General features: G+C 57.9%; 2 protein-coding genes and 2 non-coding genes across 21 annotated transcripts in view, besides 1 other annotated feature; 2 read left to right on the forward strand and 2 right to left on the reverse strand.

Annotated features, from left to right (window-relative positions):
- MYH7B (myosin heavy chain 7B) overlaps nt 1-15,346 on the forward strand; it is a 46,570-nt gene extending 31,224 nt beyond the window's left edge. For 4 of the 8 annotated variants that reach the window (XM_047440336.1, XM_047440339.1, XM_047440340.1 and 1 more), the window contains 30 exons: nt 58-196; nt 466-584; nt 674-823; nt 1,001-1,171; nt 2,233-2,276; nt 2,633-2,828; nt 2,923-3,055; nt 3,143-3,219; nt 3,647-3,734; nt 3,913-4,030; nt 6,011-6,379; nt 7,055-7,310; nt 8,245-8,487; nt 9,255-9,431; nt 9,522-9,667; nt 9,992-10,082; nt 10,160-10,549; nt 11,204-11,330; nt 11,420-11,538; nt 11,628-11,824; nt 11,965-12,314; nt 12,480-12,604; nt 12,700-12,815; nt 13,202-13,598; nt 13,677-13,802; nt 13,897-14,067; nt 14,154-14,258; nt 14,340-14,435; nt 14,857-14,994; nt 15,068-15,346. In XM_047440336.1, the coding sequence (XP_047296292.1) occupies nt 58-196; nt 466-584; nt 674-823; nt 1,001-1,171; nt 2,233-2,276; nt 2,633-2,828; nt 2,923-3,055; nt 3,143-3,219; nt 3,647-3,734; nt 3,913-4,030; nt 6,011-6,379; nt 7,055-7,310; nt 8,245-8,487; nt 9,255-9,431; nt 9,522-9,667; nt 9,992-10,082; nt 10,160-10,549; nt 11,204-11,330; nt 11,420-11,538; nt 11,628-11,824; nt 11,965-12,314; nt 12,480-12,604; nt 12,700-12,815; nt 13,202-13,598; nt 13,677-13,802; nt 13,897-14,067; nt 14,154-14,258; nt 14,340-14,435; nt 14,857-14,994; nt 15,068-15,097 (5,004 nt within the window). In that variant the 3' untranslated portion in view covers nt 15,098-15,346. The remainder of the gene's footprint in view (nt 1-57; nt 197-465; nt 585-673; nt 824-1,000; nt 1,172-2,232; nt 2,277-2,632; nt 2,829-2,922; nt 3,056-3,142; nt 3,220-3,646; nt 3,735-3,912; nt 4,031-6,010; nt 6,380-7,054; nt 7,311-8,244; nt 8,488-9,254; nt 9,432-9,521; nt 9,668-9,991; nt 10,083-10,159; nt 10,550-11,203; nt 11,331-11,419; nt 11,539-11,627; nt 11,825-11,964; nt 12,315-12,479; nt 12,605-12,699; nt 12,816-13,201; nt 13,599-13,676; nt 13,803-13,896; nt 14,068-14,153; nt 14,259-14,339; nt 14,436-14,856; nt 14,995-15,067) is intronic. The other 4 variants (NM_020884.7, XM_047440338.1, XM_006723840.4 and 1 more) reach the window with 3 other exon arrangements.
- MIR499A (microRNA 499a) lies at nt 3,285-3,406 on the forward strand. Its single transcript, NR_030223.1, has one exon. It is a non-coding gene; the product is annotated as a microRNA 499a (primary transcript).
- MIR499B (microRNA 499b) lies at nt 3,309-3,381 on the reverse strand. The gene has a single exon (NR_039912.1). It is a non-coding gene; the product is annotated as a microRNA 499b (primary transcript).
- Nucleotides 11,671-12,170: an enhancer, noted in NCBI's record as "H3K4me1 hESC enhancer chr20:33586565-33587064 (GRCh37/hg19 assembly coordinates)". NCBI's record gives its function as "activates a minimal SCP1, AML or CMV promoter by ChIP-STARR-seq in naive H9 embryonic stem cells {active_cell/tissue: H9 hESC(naive)}" and the evidence as "EXISTENCE:reporter gene assay evidence [ECO:0000049][PMID:30033119]".
- Nucleotides 15,313-23,897, reverse strand: part of TRPC4AP (transient receptor potential cation channel subfamily C member 4 associated protein) — a 90,404-nt gene continuing 81,819 nt past the window's right edge. For 4 of the 11 annotated variants that reach the window (NM_199368.2, NM_015638.3, XM_047440102.1 and 1 more), the window contains 8 exons: nt 23,096-23,197; nt 21,573-21,656; nt 20,459-20,549; nt 19,344-19,484; nt 18,604-18,712; nt 17,367-17,479; nt 16,319-16,525; nt 15,313-16,192 (listed from right to left, as the gene is read on the reverse strand). In NM_199368.2, coding sequence (NP_955400.1) covers nt 16,055-16,192; nt 16,319-16,525; nt 17,367-17,479; nt 18,604-18,712; nt 19,344-19,484; nt 20,459-20,549; nt 21,573-21,656; nt 23,096-23,197 — 985 coding nt within the window. In that variant the 3' untranslated portion in view covers nt 15,313-16,054. The other 7 variants (XM_047440096.1, XM_047440095.1, XM_047440098.1 and 4 more) reach the window with 5 other exon arrangements.

Here is a 23,897-nt window from a genome sequence, read left to right on the forward strand (position 1 = left end):
GCTGGACCCTGGAGGAGCCCAGACCTCTCTGAACTCGCTTTCCCTGCTGCCCCCCAGCATGCCATGGACATCCTAGGCTTCAGCGTGGATGAGAAATGTGCCTGCTATAAGATCGTGGGCGCCCTCCTGCACTTTGGCAACATGAAGTTCAAGCAGAAGCAGCGGGAGGAGCAGGCGGAGGCCGATGGCACTGAGAGTGAGGGGCCCTAACCTGGCCTTCAACTTGACCCAGACCTCAGCATCCTGTCCATGATGGTTAACCCCAACTCTTGTCCACAACCTTTAACCTCAGTCTTACCTGGCCCTGCCTCCTCAGCTCCAAACCCTTACCCTCCTGAGGCTTTGTTTGCTAGCCCTGAACTTGACCCCTCTTAACTTCCCTCTCCTAGCCCCAGGCTGAGGCAGTAGAGCCCCTGAGTGCGCATGGTGGTGTCCTCCTCCCTTACCCCACTCGTGCCCTGCCAGGTGCTGACAAGGCTGCCTACCTGATGGGGGTCAGCAGTGGGGACCTCCTCAAAGGCCTTTTGCACCCCCGGGTGCGTGTAGGGAACGAGTACGTGACCAAGGGCCAGAGTGTGGAGCAGGTGAGCTGCCTGCAGGCCAAACCCATGGGGGACAGCCGGGCAGGGTCCCCTCCTTGCCAGGTCCCAGCCCAGCCTCCCTGCACCTCCAGGTGGTGTTTGCTGTGGGGGCTCTGGCCAAGGCCACCTATGACCGGCTGTTCAGGTGGCTGGTGTCTCGGATCAACCAGACCCTGGACACAAAGCTGCCCCGGCAGTTCTTCATCGGGGTTCTGGACATCGCTGGGTTTGAGATCTTTGAGGTGAGGACAGGCCCTCACCTTGGCCTCTGTTCTCTCCAAGGTAGAGGACATGGGCCTGTGGGGGGGCAGAAGCCCTGGCCTTCTGCCTGGAAGTTGGGGGTGAACTCATGCCCCTCCCCGGGCCTCCCTTTCCCCATCTGCGAGAGGTCTGCTGAGCCAGGCCCCTCCCTCTTGTAGTTCAACAGCTTCGAACAGCTGTGCATCAACTTCACCAATGAGAAATTGCAGCAGTTCTTCAACCAGCACATGTTTGTGCTGGAGCAGGAGGAGTACAAGCGGGAGGGCATCGACTGGGTCTTCATCGACTTCGGCCTTGACCTGCAGCCTTGCATCGACCTCATCGAGAAGGTGGGTGCCGCGGCAAGGTCACTTTGAGGAAGGGAGGGTGTGTGTGGTGAGCAAGCAGGGATGGATGACCATGGCTTGCATGGAAGCCTGCAAGTGTGCATGGAAGCGTGTGACTGTGCGTTGCAGTAAGCATGCATGTGAGTGTAGTTGTGACAGCGTTTATGTGCTTGTGTGTGAAAGGGCACGTGTGTGAGTGGGTGTGTTGGAGTTGACCATGAGTGAGCCTTGGTGAGTGTGTGAGCAGTGTGAATGCATGCATCCCAGTACTGTGGACAACAGCTCCTCCTGGGTGCTCAGAATTCTGCAGCTCACAAGGCCCTATTTGCAGCCACAATTTCACTGGATCCCTAGAACTGCCCTGGGTGCAGGGCAGGGTGTGTTTCCTTGTTTTTGTGATTGTGGAACATTATGTATATTTACCCATTGTACAAAGAATGGAAGAAAGAAAATTTGAAAAATTGGCAGGGGAAAAAATGTTTCTCCCCATTCCTATCACAGCCAGTCACATGACACTTAGGTTCATTTCCTCGAAATCCTTTATCCCTTTTTTTTTTTTTTTTTTTTTGAGATGGAGTCTCACTCTGTCGCCCAGGCTGGAGTACAATGGCACCATCTCAGCTCACTGCAACCTTCGCCTCCAGGGTTCAAGCAATTCTTATGCCTCAACCTCCCAAGTAGCTGGGATTACAGGCATGCGCCACCACACCTAGCTAATTTTTGTATTTTTAATAGAGACATGGCTTCACCATTTTGGCCAGGCTGGTCTCGAACTCCTGACCTCAAGTGATCTACCCACCTTGGCCTCCTAAAGTGCTGGGATTACAGGCGTGGGCCACTGCGCCTGGCCTATCCATTTTCTTTTATAGACACAGATTTCATTTCATATCCTACTTTTTCTCTGAAAATGTATTTTGAATGCTGCTCATGGCAAGAGTAGTTCATGCAGTGGATGAGTTTCATACGATGCATTTCTGCAGTCCCCTACAGCTGGGCGTTTAGGTGATTGACAGCTTTTTAAATATTATGTCAGCACTGAAGACATTCATCTTCCCACTCTGCAGGTTAGAAGACTGAGGCTTAGTGATGTCGGAGGGCCCCACAGCTAGTGAGTGAGGAAGCCAAAATGTGAACTTGATGGCTTTTTTTGACTTACCCCATGTTTGTGTGTGACAGCCATGGCTGTGGCGGGGGTGAGAGTGGGTACAGAGATGCCAGCTTGGGTTTGCCATTGTTAGAAGTGAAGATGACACCTCAGTGCTGCAGATTTTGCAGGAGGGGACTGGAGCCAAGCCACAAACTTTTCTCTGTTAGGAGATGGGTTCTTGGAGTGGGTGTGGTGTCTGACCATCCGGGGAGATGGCTGAAGCTGGGGATCTGGGAAGGCTCCCAGAAGGGAGGTGGCCTGGGGAACCAGGGGTTCAGTCCTTCCAGGATGGACTGGCTTGATGGTGGCTTTTCAAGCTCGTTCTGTTCCCAGCCACTGGGCATCCTGTCCATCCTGGAGGAGGAATGCATGTTCCCCAAGGCCTCAGACGCCAGCTTCCGGGCCAAGCTCTACGACAACCACGCGGGGAAGTCACCCAATTTCCAGCAGCCTCGGCCTGACAAGAAGCGCAAGTACCAGGCCCACTTCGAGGTGGTCCACTACGCAGGCGTGGTAGGTGCTTGCTGGAACCCCAGCCCTCGGCCAGGCTCCTCCCGCCCTGCTCCAGGTCTCCCACCCGGGCTCAGCACCTGACTTGTCTCTCCAGGTGCCTTACAGCATTGTGGGCTGGCTGGAGAAAAACAAGGATCCCCTGAATGAGACCGTGGTCCCCATCTTCCAGAAGTCACAGAATAGGCTCCTGGCGACTCTCTATGAGAATTATGCGGGCTCCTGCTCCAGTGAGTATGGAGGGACAAGATCTCCACTCTGACAGGGGCCCACAGAGCGACATTCCCTGGAGTGACCAGGCCCCTTGTCTCTATTAGCTGAGCCCCCCAAGTCTGGGGTGAAAGAGAAGCGTAAGAAGGCAGCATCGTTCCAGACGGTGTCCCAGCTGCACAAGGTAAGGCCCCATCTGGGAGACAGACCCTCCCTCTTGGCAGCCTCCAGCCCCGTCCTTCACCCCCTGCCCTGTCCCCTGTGCCTTGGGCGGGCGGCTGTTAAGACTTGCAGTGATGTTTAACTCCTCTCCACGTGAACATCACAGCAAGTCTGTGCTGCTTCCCGTCCCTACGCTGCCTGGGCAGGGTTTGTGGGGAAGGGGTGGGAGCCCTGGGGCTCTGGGAGGGACGGGGATTTGGCAGGGAAGTGAAGACTTTGGTGGTGGTGATGGGAGACAGCGAAGGGTCTCCCATCACCAGAATGAGAGTGAAAGAGCAAAAGTGCAGGGCACTTAGGGCCCTGCTCCCGTCTCGGTCCTGACCACTGCGGCATCCAATTCTGGTTCTCTGCCCCCTTTGTGCCTTTCCCTCACTCTTCCCCACTGCCAGGAGAACCTCAACAAGCTGATGACCAACCTGCGGGCCACACAGCCCCACTTCGTCCGCTGCATTGTCCCCAACGAGAACAAAACCCCAGGTAGTCACCCAGGGCTGGCCTGGCTGGGGCCGGGAGGCATCATGGGAAGGTGACAGGGCAGAGGCCGGGAGGCTGAGTACATCTTCCCCCTCACCTCGCAGGGTCTCCACTGCTGCTTTTTCTCTGGGGCCTGCGGGTGTGCCTGTTGACCTCTGACCTTTTCCCCTCTCACGTCCAGGGGTCATGGATGCCTTCTTGGTGCTACACCAGCTGCGCTGCAATGGGGTCCTGGAGGGGATCCGGATCTGCCGCCAAGGGTTCCCCAACAGGTTGCTCTACACCGACTTCCGGCAGCGGTGGGTGACCCCTTCCCCCTGCCTGCTGCTCCAGGTGGAGGCCTGAGGGGCTGGGCAGGACACACATATCAGAGCCCAACAGACGGTCCCCTGTCTGGAGGGGGAAGCAGGGACTGTGAGGGGCCTGGCCAGGTATCCCAGCAAGACATGGGGGTGGCTCAGACCTGGCCGGGGACTTGGGGAGAAGTGAATAGGCTTGGGGCAAATAGTGGAGGTGGAGCCTACAGGCCTCGCTGATAAGCTGGACATGGAATTCTGGATGCAGAAAAGACGAATGATTTCTAGTTTTGGGAGTGAGCAACCTGGGAGCTACCAGTGGTAGATTTACTGAGCTACAAAAACAGGGTTTTTTGATTTGGAGGAGAGGTGAAGGGATACTGGTTTGAGCTCTGTTTTGCGTGTATCAGGTTTGAAATGCCTCCAGCAGACATCCTAGAAAAGTCATGGGGGAGATTGGGATTATCAATCTGGAGCTCAGGGCAGCGGGCAGAAAGGATGCAGATTTGGGAGTTGAACGAGAATCATGTGGACGAGGCTTCATGAGACACCTGGCACATAGCAAGCACCTGGGCAGTGCTGCCAGCTCCTCCCCGTTCCCTCAATGGGCAACAAGCATCCATCGTTCCTTCTCCCTCCAGAAGTCATGGTGTCATCCACACTATCCTTTGTAAACAGAGGTTCACACAGATACCATACACGCACACACACGCATGGTGCTGTGACCTTGTTTTTTCTAACAGTCTGGCCTGGAGATCGTTCCTTATCCCCAGGCGTATGCCTGCCATCGTCATCCGTTTTTCTTGGCTGTGAAACATCTCACAGTCTGGTGGACTGCATGCTTTGTTTAATGAGTCCCCCTCATGAGGGGCCTTCACAGCGTGGCTGTAGCCCACCTGACCCACACAGCCCTGTGCATGTGTCCACTTAGAAGTGGGCAGGCTGGGAGCCCTGGCTCTTTTGCATTAGAATTTCCCCCCAAATGGGCTGGGCGCGGTGGCTAACGCCTGTAATCCCAGCACTTTGGGAGGCCGAGGCAGGCGGATCACGAGGTCAGGAGATCGAGACCATCCTGGCTAACACGGTGAAACCCCATCTCTACTAAAAATATAAAAAAATTAGCCGGGCGTGGTGGCGGGAGCCTGTAGTCCCAGCTACTCGGGAGGCTGAGGCAGGAGAATGGCCTGAACCCGGGAGGCAGAGCTTGCAGTGAGCAGAGATCGTGCCACTGCACTCCAGCCTGGGCGACAGAGCGAGACTCCGTCTCAAAAAAAAAAAAAAAAAAGAATTTTCCCCCAAATGTTTCTTCAGTGATAGGGTACAGCATGTCACCTTCTACTAATATTTTTTGCCTTTAAAAAAATTTTAAAAATAGTGCATGCCTTCTGTAAAAAGCCTCTTTAAAAACTTAATGAATGCATTTAAAATCCCCCCAAGGTTGTGTTTTTTTTTTTTTTTTTGAGACGGAGTCTTGCTCTGTCACCCAGGCTGGAGTGCAGTGGCAGGATCTTGGCTCACTGCAACCTCTGCCTTCTGAGGTTCAAGCGATTCTGCAATTCTTCTGCCTCAGCCTCCCGAGTAGCTGGGATTACAGGCGCCCGCCACCATGCCCCACTAATTTTTGTGTTTTTAGTAGAGATAGGGTTTCACCATGTTGCCCACGCTGGTCTTGAACTCCTGGGCTCAAGCAATCCACCCGCCTTGGCTTCCCAAAGTGTTGTGATTATGGGCGTGAGCCACCGCACCCAGCCAACCCCCCAGGGATTTTAAGTGGAGTGTCCCTAGTGTCCCAGTGTGGTGACGCATCCCTGGCCCCCTTGTTTGGCATGTGCCCTGCTGGAACCTCTGCACCAGCCTCGGAGAGGCCCAGGAACGAGTCCCCTGCTACCCACACGAGCCTCCTCAGTCCCTGACTTCCCCATTCTCAGTGGCCTGTGCCCCATACCCAGCCCTCTCCTGACCAGCTCTGCCCTCCTTTCCCAGGTACCGTATCCTGAACCCCAGTGCCATCCCGGATGACACCTTCATGGACAGCAGGAAGGCCACAGAGAAACTGCTGGGCTCGCTGGACTTGGATCACACCCAGTACCAGTTTGGCCACACCAAGGTCGGGGCACTGTGGGATCAGGGCTGGCCATGGCTGTGGCGGTCACACTGGGCAGGGTTCATGCGGATGGTTGGGGGTTACCCTGGCTGTCTACCTCTCCGCCCCCAGGTGTTCTTCAAGGCTGGGCTTCTAGGCGTCCTGGAAGAGCTCCGTGACCAGCGCCTGGCCAAGGTGCTGACGCTGCTGCAGGCGCGGAGCCGTGGCCGCCTCATGCGCCTTGAGTACCAGCGCCTGCTGGGAGGCAGGTGGGTGTGGGAAGGAGGCTGGGGACAGGGTGTGTCCCCTGCCTCTCAGCTCCCAGACCCACTGGCTCTCCCAACCCTAACATGCTGCCCTGTAGTCAGATCAGCCCCTGTGGCTGGTTGGGGCAAGGTTCTGTTCTGTGTCCCCCAGCCTCCATTTCCCCACCTCAAAAAACGGGGTACGGCACTTGCCTCTCCATTTCAGGACATCAGCGTGTGGCCCGGAGGGGTAGCGATGGCACCCAGTGTCTTCCAAGACTCTTGCGGGCCGGGCCCCAGGCAAGATACTTTCTCTGCATTATCCTGGTTAAAGCGCTGACGGTCCTGAGAAACAGGCGCTGTGATGGCCTCCACTCAGCAGAAGGGTGCCCGTGTCAGAGATCCAGAGCTAGCTGGCACGTCAGCCCAGGCCGCTGACTCCAGAGCCCCGTGGCTTAACAGCCCTGGTGTCTTCCGGGAATTGCAGAGGCCACCAGGACATGGGGGGCTCATGAGCCCCTTCACTGGAGGCAGGCCTGTGGGACTGTGGGCCTCCCCTCACCCTCACCTATAAAGCAGAGCTATTAGGAGCTACTCCATGAGGCTGCTGGGAAGGCAAAACAAGTGAACTGTGCTGAGTGTCACCATTTGTGACGGGCAGCACTGAGCCACCTTCACAGCTTGGCTGCCCCTCCCTAGGGATGCGCTGTTCACCATCCAGTGGAACATCCGTGCCTTCAATGCCGTCAAGAACTGGTCATGGATGAAGCTCTTTTTCAAGATGAAGCCGCTGCTGCGCTCGGCGCAGGCTGAGGAGGAGCTGGCGGCCCTGCGGGCAGAGCTGCGGGGGTTGCGAGGGGCGCTGGCTGCGGCCGAGGCCAAGCGCCAGGAACTGGAGGAGACGCACGTCAGCATCACCCAGGAGAAGAATGACCTGGCCCTGCAGCTGCAGGCTGTGAGTCAGGGTTCCCCTTGTGACCGGGCGTCCCCAGCCCCGAGTACCCCTGGCTGCTCTGAGGGATAGTACAGCGAGACCCATGGGGCTCAGGCCTTATGTCTCTCTGTTCCAAAGATGCCATGAGATGAGGCCTCCATGTCCCAGCCTCACCACCCCAAGGCCTCGTCTGGCACGTTTCCTGGCACTCTCCCCTCGTGCCACCTTGGCCTCCCGCTAAAGCAGAGGAACCCCAGCTCCCCAGCTCTCCCCTCCCTGCAATCCCTGAAACCAAACAGACCCATGCTCTCTTCTCTGGTTAAGGGCCATGGGAACCCAGGTGGCAGGTAACAGGGTGATAGCCAGAGAGCACAGATCAAAGGTCTGGAATCTCCCCAGGTCCACAGAGCAAGCTTTCCTGCCTTCGGCACATGGCTTTGTGTATCAATTGTGTGCCAGGCTCAGGCTAGTGCAGGAGGAACGTTGGTGGGAAGACAGAGATGGCCCTGTGGTCACAAAACTCACCTGCTAGTGCAGGAGACTGTGACGCAGCTGGACAGTAAGGAAATGGGGGGTAAGGATACCTGAGCCCTTCCAGGGACTGCCTCCAGGAGCCCGTCCGTGGCTGTGCAGAGGCTGCTGCTGCTCACCCTGCCCCTCGGAAGGCCTCAGCCCAACAGCGGGGCAGTGAGCAGCGGGCTTCCCTCTCAGAACCCTTGTTTGGGCCTCACTCTGGGCCGCCCCGCACTTCTAACTTTCCCCTCTTAATGCTCTGGTGTGTCCCTCTGCGCTATTGCCCTTCCATGCCCAAGAGCGAGTCAAGACATTCCTGAGTTCTCAGAGCACAGCCAAACTTTGCTACAGAGGCAGTTTCCTCTCCAGGGCCTGGCCTGGTGTCTCTCTGCTGGTTTACCTGGCCCTCCCCCAACCTGGCCCCGTTCCGTGTGCCCTCCAGGAGCAGGACAACCTGGCAGATGCCGAGGAGCGCTGCCACTTGCTGATCAAGTCCAAGGTGCAGCTGGAGGGGAAGGTGAAGGAGCTGAGTGAGCGGCTGGAGGATGAGGAGGAGGTGAACGCTGACCTGGCCGCCCGCCGGCGCAAGCTGGAGGACGAGTGCACGGAGCTCAAGAAGGACATTGATGACCTGGAGCTGACACTGGCCAAAGCTGAGAAGGAGAAGCAAGCCACTGAGAACAAGGTGTGGGCCGGGCCAGCTGTGGGGAAGGGCCCTGAGCCAGGGGCCAGCTTTGGGGCCAGGTGGCTGCAGGTCCCACCCCGGCTCTGCTAAGCCTCTGCTTTCTGGCCCTGGGCATGTCACTGCCTTTCCTGGGCCTCAGTTTCTTTATCTGTCAAGTGGGGTTAGCAGCACTTACCCCATTAGGGTAGGTGGTGATGTGTGTAATTGGCCTTTACTGAGCACACGCTCCTAGGCCTTGCACACGGTAGGTGTTTAGCACATGCTGGCAATCCTCATCCATCCCGGAGTGCAAGCCCCTTGAGGGCAGGAACTCCATGTCCCCAGCTCGGCATCCCGCAGGTGACTTCTGCCCTTGAGCCCTCGTGATGGCCCCTGTGGTTCCCAGTGCTGGAGGAGGGACTCCATTACACAGGAGGGAAAGTGAGGCAGGGGTAGGCAGCTTAGGTTCTCACAGGTGCTCACTGAGGAAGCCGGGACTAGGAGGCAGCTGCCCTGAGCACATGCTAATACTGCACATGGCTGGCATCTGTGGATTTCTCACCAGGCCAGGTGTGGTGCTGAGCACTGCGGGTGCATCCACTCGTGAATCCTCATTACAACCCCATGAGGAGGGTCCTTCCCTCAGGCAGAAGCGGTGGAGGCTCGGAGTCAAGTGACTTGCCTGAGTCCCATAGCTGGAAGGGGCACTTGCTCTGACCTGGTGTGGTGTGGTGGCCGCTCAGAGTGCGGGGAAGGGCGTCCCCATTCTGGCCCTGGCCCTGGCACAGGTGAAGAACCTGACGGAAGAGATGGCTGCGCTGGACGAGTCAGTGGCCCGGCTGACCAAGGAGAAGAAGGCGTTGCAGGAGGCCCACCAACAGGCCCTGGGTGACCTGCAGGCCGAGGAGGACCGTGTGAGCGCGCTGACCAAGGCCAAGCTCCGGCTGGAGCAACAGGTGGAGGACGTGAGTCAGGGCCACCCCGAGACTGGGTGGCGGGGCCGGGGTGCCGGCTGGCTTGGGCCATGGCTGACCCCTGCTGTGCCTGCTCTGCAGCTGGAATGCTCCCTGGAGCAGGAGAAGAAGCTGCGCATGGACACGGAGCGGGCCAAGCGCAAGCTGGAGGGTGACCTGAAGCTGACGCAGGAGTCGGTGGCTGATGCTGCTCAAGACAAGCAGCAGCTGGAGGAGAAGCTCAAGAAGTAGGTGTGGTGGGGCAGCAGGTGGGGGCCTTCTGAGCCTGCACCTGGCCCTTGTTCCCTTCTGGATTCTTGTGGTTCCTGCGGCATTGCAGAGGTTAAGGGTGGGGGTTGACAGATGGGGCACTGGGGTGCAGGGGTAGTGTCTTGCCCTCCCTGTACTGAGGGCCCTAGCCAGGGTCCAGGGCTGAGGCCTCAGGGCCCAGTGCAGCAGGTGCATGGGGTGAGGTCCCTCAGGGCCTGAAGGGGACTGGGGGGCGTTATGGGGTCCCAGGCGGGTGGGTGGGAGTTAAGGCCTGTGCTGGCCACCCACTCTGTGGCTCCCAGGAAGGACTCCGAGCTGAGCCAGCTGAGCCTGCGGGTGGAAGACGAGCAGCTCTTGGGGGCCCAGATGCAGAAGAAGATCAAGGAGCTGCAGGTGCGTGGGGATCGGGTGGGTGAGGCCTGGGGTCAGAGGCCCACAGAGGTGACAGCTGCCCCACGTGCCCACCCCAGGCTCGGGCGGAGGAGCTGGAAGAGGAGCTGGAGGCAGAGCGGGCAGCCCGGGCCCGCGTGGAGAAGCAGCGTGCAGAGGCGGCGCGGGAGCTGGAGGAGCTGAGCGAGCGGCTGGAGGAGGCAGGCGGCGCATCCGCGGGGCAGCGCGAGGGCTGCCGCAAGCGGGAGGCGGAGCTGGGGAGGCTGCGGCGGGAGCTGGAGGAGGCGGCGCTGCGGCACGAGGCCACAGTGGCGGCACTGCGGCGCAAGCAGGCGGAGGGCGCGGCGGAGCTGGGGGAGCAGGTGGACAGCCTGCAGCGGGTGCGGCAGAAGCTGGAGAAGGAGAAGAGTGAGCTGCGCATGGAGGTGGACGACCTGGCTGCCAACGTGGAGACTCTGACCCGCGCCAAGGTGTCCGTGCCTTCCTCACCCCATACCCACCCTGACTTTAAACCAATCCCGATCCCAGCAGCCAATACTGTTCCCACACCAGCCTCCACCCAGTACCTTATCCTGAGCCCTGACCTCTTCACCTGGTACACAACCCTCATTTCTCAGCCTCCTACCAGTCCTGACCTTAAGCCGTGACTCCCAAGCCCTGTTCCCTGACTCCAGGTCATTTCTGATCCAGCATCTACTTCCAGCCTCAGACCCTTGAACCAGCAGTAGTTGTGACCCTAGCCCTTGACTCCTGAACTCTGACTTAATACCTGTCCTCTCTTCCTGTCCTGAACCCCAGCACCCTAGCCTTAACCCCTGACCTTTCTACCACATAATCCTGACAGCTGACCTCTGACCATTGTCCCCAGGTGACTCCGCAGCTACCATCCCAACTCTCACCCTGACCCACTGCCCTGGGACTGGCCCAGCCCTGTCAGTTCTGACACCTGTTAAGCCCAGCAGTAGAATCTCTTTCCCTGACTTTGAACTTGGGGCTCTGCTCTCCCTTTGATTCCTGGGCCCACATCTAGCTTACCAGTCTCTGATCCCAGATCCTGCCATCTGATGCACAAACTTGTTCTGACATCTAACTCCTGACCCCTGACTCCCAACCTGGGATCCTAGGCCAGTGCAGAGAAGCTGTGCCGGACCTATGAGGATCAGCTAAGCGAGGCCAAGATCAAGGTGGAGGAGCTGCAGCGGCAGCTGGCGGACGCAAGCACGCAGCGTGGGCGACTACAGACGGAAAGCGGTGAGGCTGGGGCTCAGCTGGCCACACCAGGCAGGGCTTTGGTGCAGCCCTCACCAGCCTGACCTGTCCGCTCGCCTCTTTGCCTGCAGGGGAGCTGAGTCGCCTGCTAGAGGAGAAGGAGTGTCTGATCAGTCAGCTGAGCCGTGGAAAGGCCCTGGCCGCCCAAAGCCTGGAAGAGTTGCGGCGCCAGCTAGAGGAGGAAAGCAAGGTGGGCTGGCACCGGTGACCATGGAGTGGGCAGGTGGGCACCAGAGCCACTGGGCTGCACTAACGCTGAGGTCACTGGTGTCCCTGCAGGCCAAGAGTGCCCTGGCCCACGCCGTGCAGGCTCTGCGGCACGACTGTGACCTCCTGCGGGAGCAACACGAGGAGGAGGCTGAGGCCCAGGCTGAGCTGCAGCGGCTGCTGTCCAAGGCCAATGCCGAGGTGGCCCAGTGGAGGAGCAAGTACGAAGCAGATGCCATCCAGAGGACCGAGGAGCTGGAGGAGGCCAAGTGAGTGCTTTGCTGGCCAGGCCACTGCCATGCAGAGCTTTATGCCTGTGCCTGAGCCCCGCTGAGGGTGGGTGAAGGGAGCTGCTGGGGCTGTTCTCCCTCCTTCCATGGTCCACACCTTGTCTGGTTCCATGGCCTAGAAAAAAGCTGGCACTGCGGCTGCAGGAGGCAGAGGAGGGCGTGGAGGCTGCCAACGCCAAGTGCTCATCGTTGGAGAAGGCCAAGCTGCGGCTACAGACAGAGTCAGAGGATGTAACCCTGGAGCTGGAGCGGGCGACCTCAGCAGCTGCTGCGCTGGACAAGAAGCAGCGGCACTTGGAACGGGCACTGGAGGAACGGCGGCGGCAGGAGGAGGAGATGCAGCGGGAGCTGGAGGCGGCACAGAGGGAGTCCCGTGGCCTGGGCACCGAGCTCTTCCGGCTGCGGCACGGCCACGAGGAGGCACTTGAAGCCCTGGAGACGCTCAAGCGGGAGAACAAGAACCTGCAGGGTAGGACCTGCCACACGCCAGGGCCAGGGTGCTGCCCTGGGGTCGGAGCAACTTTGAGTTATGGGGGTGCCCTGGTGGGGCCACCCTGGAATCAGGGGTGAGTGGAGTGACCTGGGTGGGAGTACAAGCCATGGGGGTGGCCTCTCAGCACCCTGTCCACTGCAGAGGAGATCAGCGACCTCACAGACCAGGTGAGTCTCAGTGGGAAGAGCATCCAGGAACTGGAGAAAACCAAGAAGGCGCTGGAAGGCGAGAAGAGTGAGATCCAGGCTGCACTGGAGGAGGCAGAGGTCAGGGGCTGGCTGCAGGGGTGGGTGGACACTGACCTGCTGCTCCACTGGCCATCCCCCCCCCCCACCCTACCCTGCCTGCTCTGTATCCACAGGGGGCCCTGGAGCTGGAGGAGACCAAGACGCTGCGGATCCAGCTGGAGCTCTCCCAGGTCAAAGCAGAAGTGGACCGGAAGCTGGCAGAGAAAGACGAGGAGTGCGCTAACCTGAGGTGTGTCCATCCTTCTCCCGTCCCCACCTCCCGAGAGCAGAAGGGGAGGGAAGCAGTGTGTACTCTGCTCTCTAGTCTGTCCCTCCCATGGGACTTTGAGGTCCGGGTTGCTGTCTCCATTCTAGCTGTGAACCTCGGAGATGCTAAAGGACTTGCCCAAAGTCACACAGTGGGGGTGGAGCCAGTCAGTCCACCTCTGTCTGCCTGGGCCTCACTCTTGTCCATGAACTTGCTCTGATGGGCCACAGGCAGTCACAAGAGACTTTAAATCGGGGAGGGGTGACTCATTTGTTCTCAAAATGGGTTCGTTTCCAACGGTCCTTGGGCATTTGTAAGGACAGGTATGCCCTTACGAGACCCCCTTTCATGCCACCCTCCTCCCATAGGCGCAACCACCAGCGAGCTGTGGAGTCCCTGCAGGCCTCCCTGGATGCAGAGACACGGGCCCGCAATGAGGCGCTGCGGCTCAAGAAGAAGATGGAGGGTGACCTCAACGACCTGGAGCTGCAGCTGGGCCATGCCACCCGTCAGGCCACAGAGGCCCAGGCTGCCACGCGGCTGATGCAGGCACAGCTCAAGGAGGAGCAGGCAGGGCGGGACGAGGAGCAGCGGCTGGCAGCTGAGCTCCACGAGCAGGCGCAGGCTCTGGAGCGCCGGGCCTCGCTGCTGGCTGCGGAGCTGGAGGAGCTGCGGGCTGCCCTGGAGCAGGGCGAGCGCAGCCGGCGACTGGCAGAGCAGGAGCTTTTGGAGGCCACCGAGCGCCTCAACCTTCTGCATTCGCAGGTGGGGACAGGAGTCCCTGGGGACAGAGCAGGTGCAGGCCTGCTGGCTGGCTGGCTCTGAGACTCCTCTTCCCCTCAGAACACAGGCCTCCTAAACCAGAAGAAGAAGCTGGAGGCGGACTTGGCCCAGCTGAGCGGGGAGGTGGAGGAGGCTGCACAGGAGAGGCGGGAGGCTGAGGAGAAGGCCAAAAAGGCCATCACTGATGTGAGGCTGGGCAAGGGCTGTGGGGAGCCTGGGACAGAATTGCAGAGGGACTTCCCTGAGGCTGGGCACCTGACCAGCTCCTCCTCCCCAACAGGCGGCCATGATGGCCGAGGAGCTGAAGAAGGAGCAGGACACAAGTGCACACCTGGAACGGATGAAGAAGACGCTGGAGCAGACGGTGCGCGAGCTCCAGGCCCGCCTTGAGGAGGCAGAACAGGCCGCCCTCCGTGGCGGGAAGAAGCAGGTGCAGAAGCTGGAGGCCAAGGTGTGTGCAGCCCCTCTAGTCCTTGGCGCAGGCAGGGTGGGTGACCCAGGGGTGGGCTTGGCATCAGGCTGTCCCCCTGCCTGCAGGTACGGGAGCTGGAGGCTGAGCTTGATGCAGAGCAGAAGAAGCACGCCGAGGCCCTTAAGGGCGTGCGCAAGCATGAGCGCCGTGTCAAGGAGCTCGCATACCAGGTGGGCGACAGGGTCTCCCTGGGGAGTGGCCCTGGAGCTGGCCCAGCCCAAGCAAGCCCTGAGTCCCCCTTGCCCGCCCAGGCCGAGGAGGACAGGAAGAACCTGGCTCGCATGCAGGACCTGGTGGACAAGCTGCAGAGCAAGGTCAAGAGCTACAAGCGCCAGTTTGAGGAGGCGGTGAGTGCGCTGGGGCCTGGACACCTGGACCGGGCACCCCAGCTCTGCCCCAGGGTCTGTGGCCAGGTGAGGCATCAGCAGCAGCTCCACCCTCCAAGGTCAGTGACCCAGAGGGAAGAGAGAAGCTTCTAACATCTCTGGGGAGATCAGACCTAGCTCCTTCTCATGGAACAGACCCCATGTGCTTTCCCCTGGCCAAGGCTGGGGCTGCCTCTGAGGGGTGGGGCAGGCACAAAAAGGCACATGAAGTTGGTGCGTCCCAACTTCCTTATTCCCGCTGTGGTATTGGTGAGGATGGACAGTGGCAATAGGAACAAAGTTGAGAACCAGGAGGAGCTAGCTCCCTTCTTGGACTGGGGCAGGGACCAGAATAAGCATCTCAGTCACCCAAGCGGAACCAAGGCCCTGTGTGTGCCCCCAGGAGCAGCAGGCCAACACCAACCTGGCCAAGTATCGCAAGGCCCAGCACGAGCTGGATGATGCGGAGGAGCGGGCAGACATGGCGGAAACCCAGGCCAACAAGCTGCGGGCACGGACCCGGGACGCCCTGGGCCCCAAGGTGAGGAGTGGCAGGGGCATTGCTCTCTGTGCAGGGGGACTGTGGGGGCTGACAGGTAGTACTGCTCACTCAGCTATCCCTTTCTCCTCAGCACAAGGAGTGACGGCCTGACCCCCTGGGCTCTAAAGAGGAATGTCTGCTGTTGCACATCTGGCTGAGGCCACCTGCCCCGATCCTGCCATCTCTGCATCGCCCCCTGCTGCCTTCAGCCTTCCCTGGGCCCTGAATAAACACCACAGCCAGTTTCCTTCTCATTCTTTTCTTTGGGGTTCAGGAGGAAAAACACAGTCCTAGGGACAAAAGCCAGGTCCACAGCAGTCATTTTTAAAATAAAGTTATTTAATAGTCTCCATTTAATTGGTTTATTTGCTGTTAATAAATTGGCAACACAAGGAAGGGCCCCATGTCCAGGCTCAGGCAGGAGCGGCTGCCTCAGGCAGAGGCAGGGCAGGCACAGCTGCCCCGTGCCCCAAGGGATGGAGGGAAAGGCCCCTCACTTCTGGGAGAACCCCCTTGGATGAACACAGCGGCCAATGAGCAAACAGAACCAGAGGAGCTACAGGAAAATGAGGCAGAGGGGCAGGCTTGGGGGAAGGCAGCATTCTCTGGTACCCACCACCCCTGCCCAGGGCTCAGAAGCCTTTGCCTGGGTCCAAAGGCCAGGGACAAGGGAGGCTTGGCTCACAGATGGGGGGTGGGGGTCACCCATATCTTCCTCCCCACTCTGGGACTGACTGACAGCCAAGAAACCGGCAGGAGCTCACACAGAGCTAATGCTAAATGTCCTCTTACCTCTGGGTGGCCCTGGGCCCCAGGGTTCTGAAGGAAAGGTGGGCATGGTACCCTGTCCTCATTATGGGGACTGAGGCTCTCCATGACCTAGGGCCCTCAGACCCAGGGGGACCAAGGGCTTCTAGGACTTCCCTCCCACCAAGCCTGTACCCAAAGACCTGGGGCAGGCAGAGAGCAGCAGGGAGGAACGGGAACAGGGCAGGGCGTGTGGCATCGTACCCACGCTCACCCACACTGGCCCAGCAGCCTCCCGAGGCCTGGCCCAAGGTCACTCCTCAGTGAAGTCCCTGTCTATGTCCATGTAGGGCTCCTCAATGTAGCTAACGAGAGCAGAGGGTGACTGCCGGTCCGGGTTCAACAGGATGGACACTGTCTCCTTCCAGTATGAGAAGCTGATGCAGGAGCTCTGGGCAAAGAGGGAGGGGCTGGGGGGCGCCTGGAGGACCCAGGTCAAGCCCAGCACCGGGACACCCCTCTGAGAGGCCCTGGGTCCGCGGCCCACCCATCACCCCCTTGAGGGTGGGGCACTCACGTTCTCTAGGCAGGTGCTGTCCTTGTCCTTGTGCAGGTAGTGCTGCTGCCAGAAGCGCAGCAGGTTGTGGAAGTTGTTGAGCAGGAAGCCGGGGTACTTCTTGCTGTGCTCCATCCGCTGCAGCAGCCGCAGGTACAGGGGCAGCCGCTCTTTCCGTCGGGCCAGCATCAGGATCACCAGGCTGGTGTTGAGGCAGCTGACGTTCTCCTGCAAGGCCACAGGCCCACAGGGTCAGGGGCTGGTGGGAGCCCCAGTGGCCCCTGGTGAACCTGGGTAGCCATCAGGCAGGGAGGAGAGTGGCCCCAGGCCTCGGGCCACCCACAGAGCTCTCCCTGCACAGAGGTGAGATAGGACTGGGGGAAGGGGGCCCCCAGCAGCCCCAGTTTCCTGACTGAGCACCTTCCTCTTCCCCACGCCCACCTCCCACCCCACCTGAGGCAACAACACCTGTCCCTGTCCAGACCTGGGCTCAAGCATCACTCCTTCCGGAAGGTCCGTCCCAGGCAGGGCTGGGTGCGTGTGTTGGGGCGGTTATCCCGCTTCAGAAGTGCCATTCAGCACTAGCCTGCGCGCCTCGGTGGGGAAAGAGTTCTGCCCCACTCACCATGCACTCCCACCTGGTGCTTCACCTCAGAACGGAACCAAAGACCACCTCTGAGAGGTGCTAAGATCACCCTCACTCTAGAAAAGAGGGGCAGGAGGCTCAGAGAAGGGAAGGCTGCATGACTATTCAGTGAGGGAGTTGGGCAGCCTCAGGTCCGATTCCAAAGCCCAGCAGGGCAGAAGGTGTGAGGGACGTGGACATGGGGGAGGCGGGGAGAGCACTGGCCTGCAAGTCAGCCTGTGACCTGAGGGCACTTGCGAGCCCTCCTTCCTTAGGCCCTGTCTGTACAATGGGACACTGATTCCTCCTGAGCACAGTCCTCAGAAGAGCTGGGTCTCCAGAGACGCACTTCTGGAGTGGGGGACAGAAACCTGCTGGGCACCAGGACAAAGGAAGTGGTTTCCAATCGACCTTCCCTGCTGTGTGTCTGCCGGGGCCTCTCACCTGGGTCAGCGTCTGCACGTGGATGATGTTGATGAGGCGGAAGAGGAAGGACATCTGCGTGGGCACCTGGGATATGTAGGCGAGCAGGCGGCATTCAGACAGTACCTCGGCAACTGTGGAGGGAGGCAGGGGTGCAGCAGGTCAGGCTTAGGCCCAGTGGCTGGGTCGCCCAGGCCTTTCGTGGAGCCCCGCTTGGGTCCTGACTCTGAAGCTAGGAGCTCATCATCAAAACAGCTTCAACGAAAGCTGACTGTGGCAGAAAGAAGGACCTCCAGCTGTCCTGCTACCAGGCAAAGCCATGTTCTCAGAGTGCCCAGGAGCACCCCACCTCATCCTCCAGAACCAAGCTCAGGGCAGCTCTCCCTCAGCCCTCCCCAGACTGGCTCCAGACCCGTGCCCTCCATATCACACACAGAAGAGTTCCCTCCACAGGAAGATGGATCCATGACGCTGCATTAAGAAAAACAACGCAAAAGTTCCACTCCTTCTGCAGAGGTCCTAGCGCAACTGGTTTTCCACACCAGCTCTCAGGTGAGTCCGGCCCAGTGCTGAGACCACAAGGCACAGGTTCTGCTCCGTCCACTAGTGTCGGAGCAACTGCTTCCCGCACAACTGGGAGGCAGGGCAATAACCGAAGGTACCAAAATCTGTGTGGCTGTTCCCCTGAAACAGACCCTCTGGGGCAGAAAAAGGAAGCAAACGGCTAAATTACCAACAACCGGGATACTTCTTGCTATCAATGACAGTGACCGTGACAAGGAACAAGTGCCTGACTTTTTGGGGGTGTGGGGGGGTCACAAACCCTCAGGAGAATCTGCTGGATGCCACAAGCCCTCTCCTAGGAAAAAAAGGAAACGCGTGCGCATACACATGGAAGTGCGTTAGCAAGTCCAGGAGGGTTCAGATGCCTGCTGCACCACAGGGCACCTGCGATGCCACGCACAGCACACTGAGGACGAGGGGGCCAACTCATCGTGCCAGGCAATACCAGCCCAGAAGAGGAAGGTCTTTTTCTGGTTTTCTTTGCATCTTGCTAGCAACAATGGATTTTCACCTTATTAAAGTGTTGAACAAGGCAGCAAAGCCAATTGCCCTGGAAGCCGCCACCTTGAGGCCGGCCACGTGGGCATCTGGTGCAGCTCCCTCAGTCATTCTTGTCTCCCTGCTGGAGACAGGGTGTCTGATGCCAGCATTCTTACCCTGCATGACTTGCCTTGACAGCCTGCCTTTCATGTACCTTTCATATCCACCTGGTTTTCAAATCGGTCCAGGGACAGAGTGACACAGCGCACCAGCATGTTGGAGTCCACCAGGGAGCTGTTGATCTGCTTCAGGAATACCTGGAACTATACAGAAACCAAGCTCACAGCAGGCAGTGGGCTGCTGGCCAGGTATGGCCATGGCCCGGGGGGATAGTCACTACAAGGGGCATCAGCGACCTCTACCAGCCCCACTGCTTCAGATAGGAAGACAGAGGCTCAGATAAGCTGAGGGACCTCCCCTCACCACCCAGGTACTAAGAGGCACTCCCCGGAATTCAGCACAGATCCGACACTCTCTCCAGTGGTTTTACGCTCAAGGGTGCTGGATTCCTTTAATTTTTACTTTTAATTTTACTTCAGCTAGCCTGAGCTGGGTTTCTGTCACACACACTCGGTGAGCCTAACACACCAGGCCCAGTCCCTCCCTACAGCGGCTCCCACCGTGGCACCCACCATGCTGCGTCACGGCAGGCGCACAAGCCACCCATTCCCACCCTCACTCCCTACCCACAAGCAGCCCCGGTTTTCATCCCTGCATTCCCAGGGTCTAGCACAAAGCCAGACAGAGCAGGTTCCAATGAATGTTTGCCAAAGACTGCCCAGACTCCCCCGTCGTCTCTAACGTAAAACCTGTGCCTAAAGCCTGGCAGACCAGGACTCCAGGTGAACTTCTGGACAACCCAGCACACTCCACAGAGCCCTGGGTTAACTTTACCTTTGCATCGGTGTTGATATATTTATTGAATCTCTTGAATGCATCAACGTTGAACTTCATCAGCTCCCCCAGGAGGTCAAAGTAACTCTGGAGCACATCCCTTGACTTACACTCGCTGTCCACAATGCAGTAAAGGATGTGCTGGGTGAGGAGGGACAGGGTGAAGGTGTCAACGTGGCTGCCCCCACCAGGGCCTGGCATGGAGCTCAGACCATGCATTGGCTTTGAGCAAGCATCCTGGGGATGGAACTGGCAACACTGTCTAGATTCTTGTCTGAGGATGCTGGTGGCTCCAAGGACAGGACCAGGCCTGACAGACCTCACCAGGAGGTGGAGCAGACTGGGAATGCAGCACAATCTCTCCCCTGCCCAGGGCGTACAGCTGAAGCCTGTGACCTGCTCTGTGGTCACCAAGATGGCCGGGGTGCTCAGCTCCTAGGTGAGGGGAGCTGTCATCACCAGGTCTAAAACACAGGCCACTGCCTAAGCACTGAGGTCATTCAAGTAAATGAAGGACAGAATTTAAAAGCAAAGGACACATTTTGACCCCATGGTTTGTCTTTGTGTTTATGAACGAAATTGTTTAAATAGAGTTTACACCAAAATACTGAGTTTTCATCAAGAGAATAAAGCCAATTTACTCCTTTATAAAGTTTTCTACATTTTCTTGAAGTTACATTGATTTGGATCAATTCTTTTCCACATGGATTTTATAATTCGTGGGTCAGTTTCTTGTCCATATGAAAAAATCTGAAAGACCAATTATAACTTTGGCCATTCTGCTCTAAGTTTTACTTTTTCTGAAGACCATTATTCAATAAAGGAAAATTAACTTTTAGTACAAAATATCTTCAGGGTCAAAATGCCTTGCTGGGTAACCAAACTGTCACCCTCCTGCATGGCCTGGCCACCCTCTAAACCTGTCACCCCGTAAGCACCCATGGGGAACCCACAGTTGGAAACCCAGGGCAAAATCTAAGGCAGCCTGCACAGGCATTTGGAAGTCACGAGATCTGCTCTGCTCCTGATGAACTGTTTGGGGCTCAGGACAGGACACAGCAACGCGTGGGCTGGGGGGAGACGGAACCCAAGACACTGGCTGCTCCAGATCATACCTCCAAGAGGCCTCGCTTCAGCAGGAACATCTGGTCTGCATAGGAGGTGGTCCCTCGGAGGAAACTCTCCACAGCCCGAGCTTGCCAAAACCTGCGACCCAAATACTGGCTCAGGTGGCTAAGGCTGCCCTCTTCCGGCCCATGTTCAGTTCTCCAAGGGGTTGGGAGATGTTTGTTGCCTTTTCATGTACTCAACATTTACTGAACATCTACCAAGCATCAGGCTTCATCCTGGGCCTGGGGACACAGCAGTGCCCCCATCCTCACAGAGAGCCAGCTCAGTGGAGAAGTCTTCTATCTGGGTCTGTCTGGAAGGGGCTGTGTCACAGAAAGGGTAACATCTGGGATCGAAGGGCTGGCTCCTGCGAGCCCCCGTGAAACATACTCTAGGCCTTGCCCTTTCACAAGAATGGGAGGACGTGCAATTGAGGGGCCAGGAATGTGTGTGGGAAGCGGACGAACACATGCAGACAGGCCACTGGGCTCACAGACGATGGGCTGGCCTAGGGAAGTAGTGGTTGATGCTGACCGAGGGACCCAGAGGGCACAGCGGGTATCCACGACAGGGAGTTTGGACAAGGCACTGAAGTGACAAAGGCCCATGTGGGCATGAAGCCTCCTGACAGCTCACGCCCGGCCCTGATGGAACTCTACCTGTCCACTGACTTCAAGACTCATCTTAGATGTATCTAAGGACCTCAGAGAAGGTCTCCCTGTATTCACCCAGCCCCCAGCCCTAGCAGCGGAAGAGGCTTTCCTTTGCTGCTATAGCTCCTGGGCCAACCCTGGCTCCATTCCTTCCCACACTGCATTGAAACAGCACAGCTCTAGGGAATTCATGGCAGGGCCCGTATCCTAGTTCTCTCCCACCCATAAGGCACCAGCACAGAACAGGTGCTTGGTGAATGCTCGGTCACTGTGGGCTGCAGAAGAAGCTCTCACATACCTGTCGAGTCAAAACTACACAAGATGGCAGTCAAACCACCTCTCCCCAACAGTAATTGTGCTTCAGGAGGCATGGACGCTGGTGACTAAAGGAGGTATTCCTAACCTCCTGAGAAACACCTGGCTCTGCAGCCCCGCAGAATCGGCAGGTACTTTTCCCCAGACTCACCTGAAAGACGACTCTGCTGGCTCCTTCTTCATGACCTGCAGCAGACGAGTTAATAAGCCCCTCTTCCCATCACACACCAAACTCCTGAAATAGAAGAGAGATATTGGTGACAGATCTGAGAGGCTGACAGGGGCCCTGGGGATGGGTCATTCTGCTGGCTTAGGCGGTGAAAAACCATGGGGACATTTCCAAGTCTGCAGGATGCCTTCCTGCTCCAACTGGGTCCAGAGCCCCGGAGACCCCTGCAGCCACAGAATTAAACTGCCAAGTGCATTCCCACCACATCTCAGGCCAGCTTTCCTTCCCAGGCCAGAAACATATCCAGAATCAGACATGGCTTAGAACTGCCAGAGGAGAGCTGTTTATACCAAAAGTGTGTTGAAACAGGTCATGCCAGTCTGCCAGATGGGGAAAGACTCTGCCAATAGGGTGAGGCCCAGCGTACTCCGTGCCTGAGGTTCACTTCCAGCTGGCCTTGGGCAAGTGTCCACAACTCCAAGCCTCAGCTTCCCAGTCTATGAAGCAAAGGCAGGAGATGAGGAAATGACTCTGGCCCCGTCATGGGGGAAGGAAGACGGCCAGGCACGCAGGGGTCTGGGCCCTTCAAACAGAGCAGCTCTGCTGTGATCCACTGCAGACATCAGGGCAGGACTGGGTACAATTTTATTTGAATGAAGAGTTCTGCTACCTTAGAAAAAAAAGATTGGGAGGCCAGGAGAGGTGGTTCACACCTGTAATCCCTGGACTTTGGGAGGCTCACTTGAGGCCAGGAGTTCGAGACCAGCCTGGGCAACATAGTGAGACCCCATCTCTACAAAAAAAAAGTAAAAACACTAGCTGGGAATGGTGGCGCACACCTGTAGTCCCAGCTACTCGGGCGGCTGAGGCAGGAGAATCACTTGAGCTCAGAAGTTTGTGGCTGCAGTGAGCTATAACACCACTGCTCTGCAGCCTGAGAGAAAGAGCAAGACCTTGTGTCTAAAAAACAAAACAAAACAAACAAACAAAAAAGGTTGGGAAATCATGGCTCTTGTTGGATAAAGTCCACTGTATTCTGACGCCTGTGAGACTAGCCCCCCACTGCCTGGCTCCAGGTGAGGCAAACCTAACCCAGGTAATGCAACCTAACACTTGGCAGCAGGTAAGAGGCTTCTGTCTGTCCTGCTTGGCTGCAGATGCCACCAGGCAAGAAAGGAGCACATAAGCAAAGGGGCTGAATGCACGAGACAAGGCGGTGGGGCAGTGCGGAGCACACATGACTTCTGGCAGGTGACCTCTCTGAGGCTCACCTCATCTGTCAAGTGCAGGTACTGATGGGGCTCCCCTCCTAGGGCTGCTGTGAGGCTCCAATGAGAAAATGCAGGTGACATGAATACAATGCCTGGCACACAGGAGCCCTCAGGACACTGTAGCTGCATGTGAGAGAGGACACGCGTGCATACCTGGATGTGCTCACCGGTGAGCCCCCGGGGAACGTGGGCAGCCGGGATGGGCTGAGGGAAAAGCTGCACCCCTGCACTCACCTGTCGGTGTTGAGGACAGCTTCCACCTCAGGGATGTTGGCCTTGAGAGAGATGGCACTGAGTTCATTCAGCTCCTGGTTGTTGAGTAACAAGTACTTGTTCCTGAAACAAAATGGGTTGGAGGAGGTAAAGGACAGGAACTGGGGCTGCTGGGTCAGCACCAGGCTAGTGTAGGGAGTCTCCTGCCCACTTCCTGTGGACAGAATCTGAGAAGCCACCAGGCACTTTCCTCTAGCACCTCTCACTCCAGCCAGCACCTGCAGGAGGGAACTCTGGGCTCTCAGGCAGTGGAATCTCTCCCTGGCCCCACCCCCATCCCCGACCCCTGCCTGCCACATTCATCGACAAGGCCCCTTCCCTCAGCAGCTCTGGGCCTTTCTCTTTGCCTACATTTCCACTTGTTTTCTCAAAGGCACCAACACCTCAACAGGTCCAATCACACTCAAGCCTGGCCCTGCTGCAGCAGTCCCACCAAGCACCACGGTCACACATCACACAGAGGCCTGGTTAACTGTGACACTTCCCCCGACTTGCCATCCAGGCCTGTCACTGCTGGGTCCTGTGTTCCCAGGACACCAGCTCCCTTTACTAAAAGGTATCCCACAGGAACTGAGTCATCACACGGTGCCAAAAGTGATCTTCAGAATCAGGACTCTGATCCTGTCACTCCCGGTGAAAACACTTCCACAGCTTCCCACTGCATTTAGAACAGACATTTCCTGACTTAGGAGGAGGTTATGTCCTGATAAACCCATCGTATTTGAAAATGCCGTTAAGTTGAAAACATATTGAGGCCGGGCGC

Source organism: Homo sapiens, chromosome 20 (assembly GCF_000001405.40).
Source record: "Homo sapiens chromosome 20, GRCh38.p14 Primary Assembly".
Taxonomy (NCBI): Eukaryota; Metazoa; Chordata; class Mammalia; order Primates; family Hominidae; genus Homo; species Homo sapiens.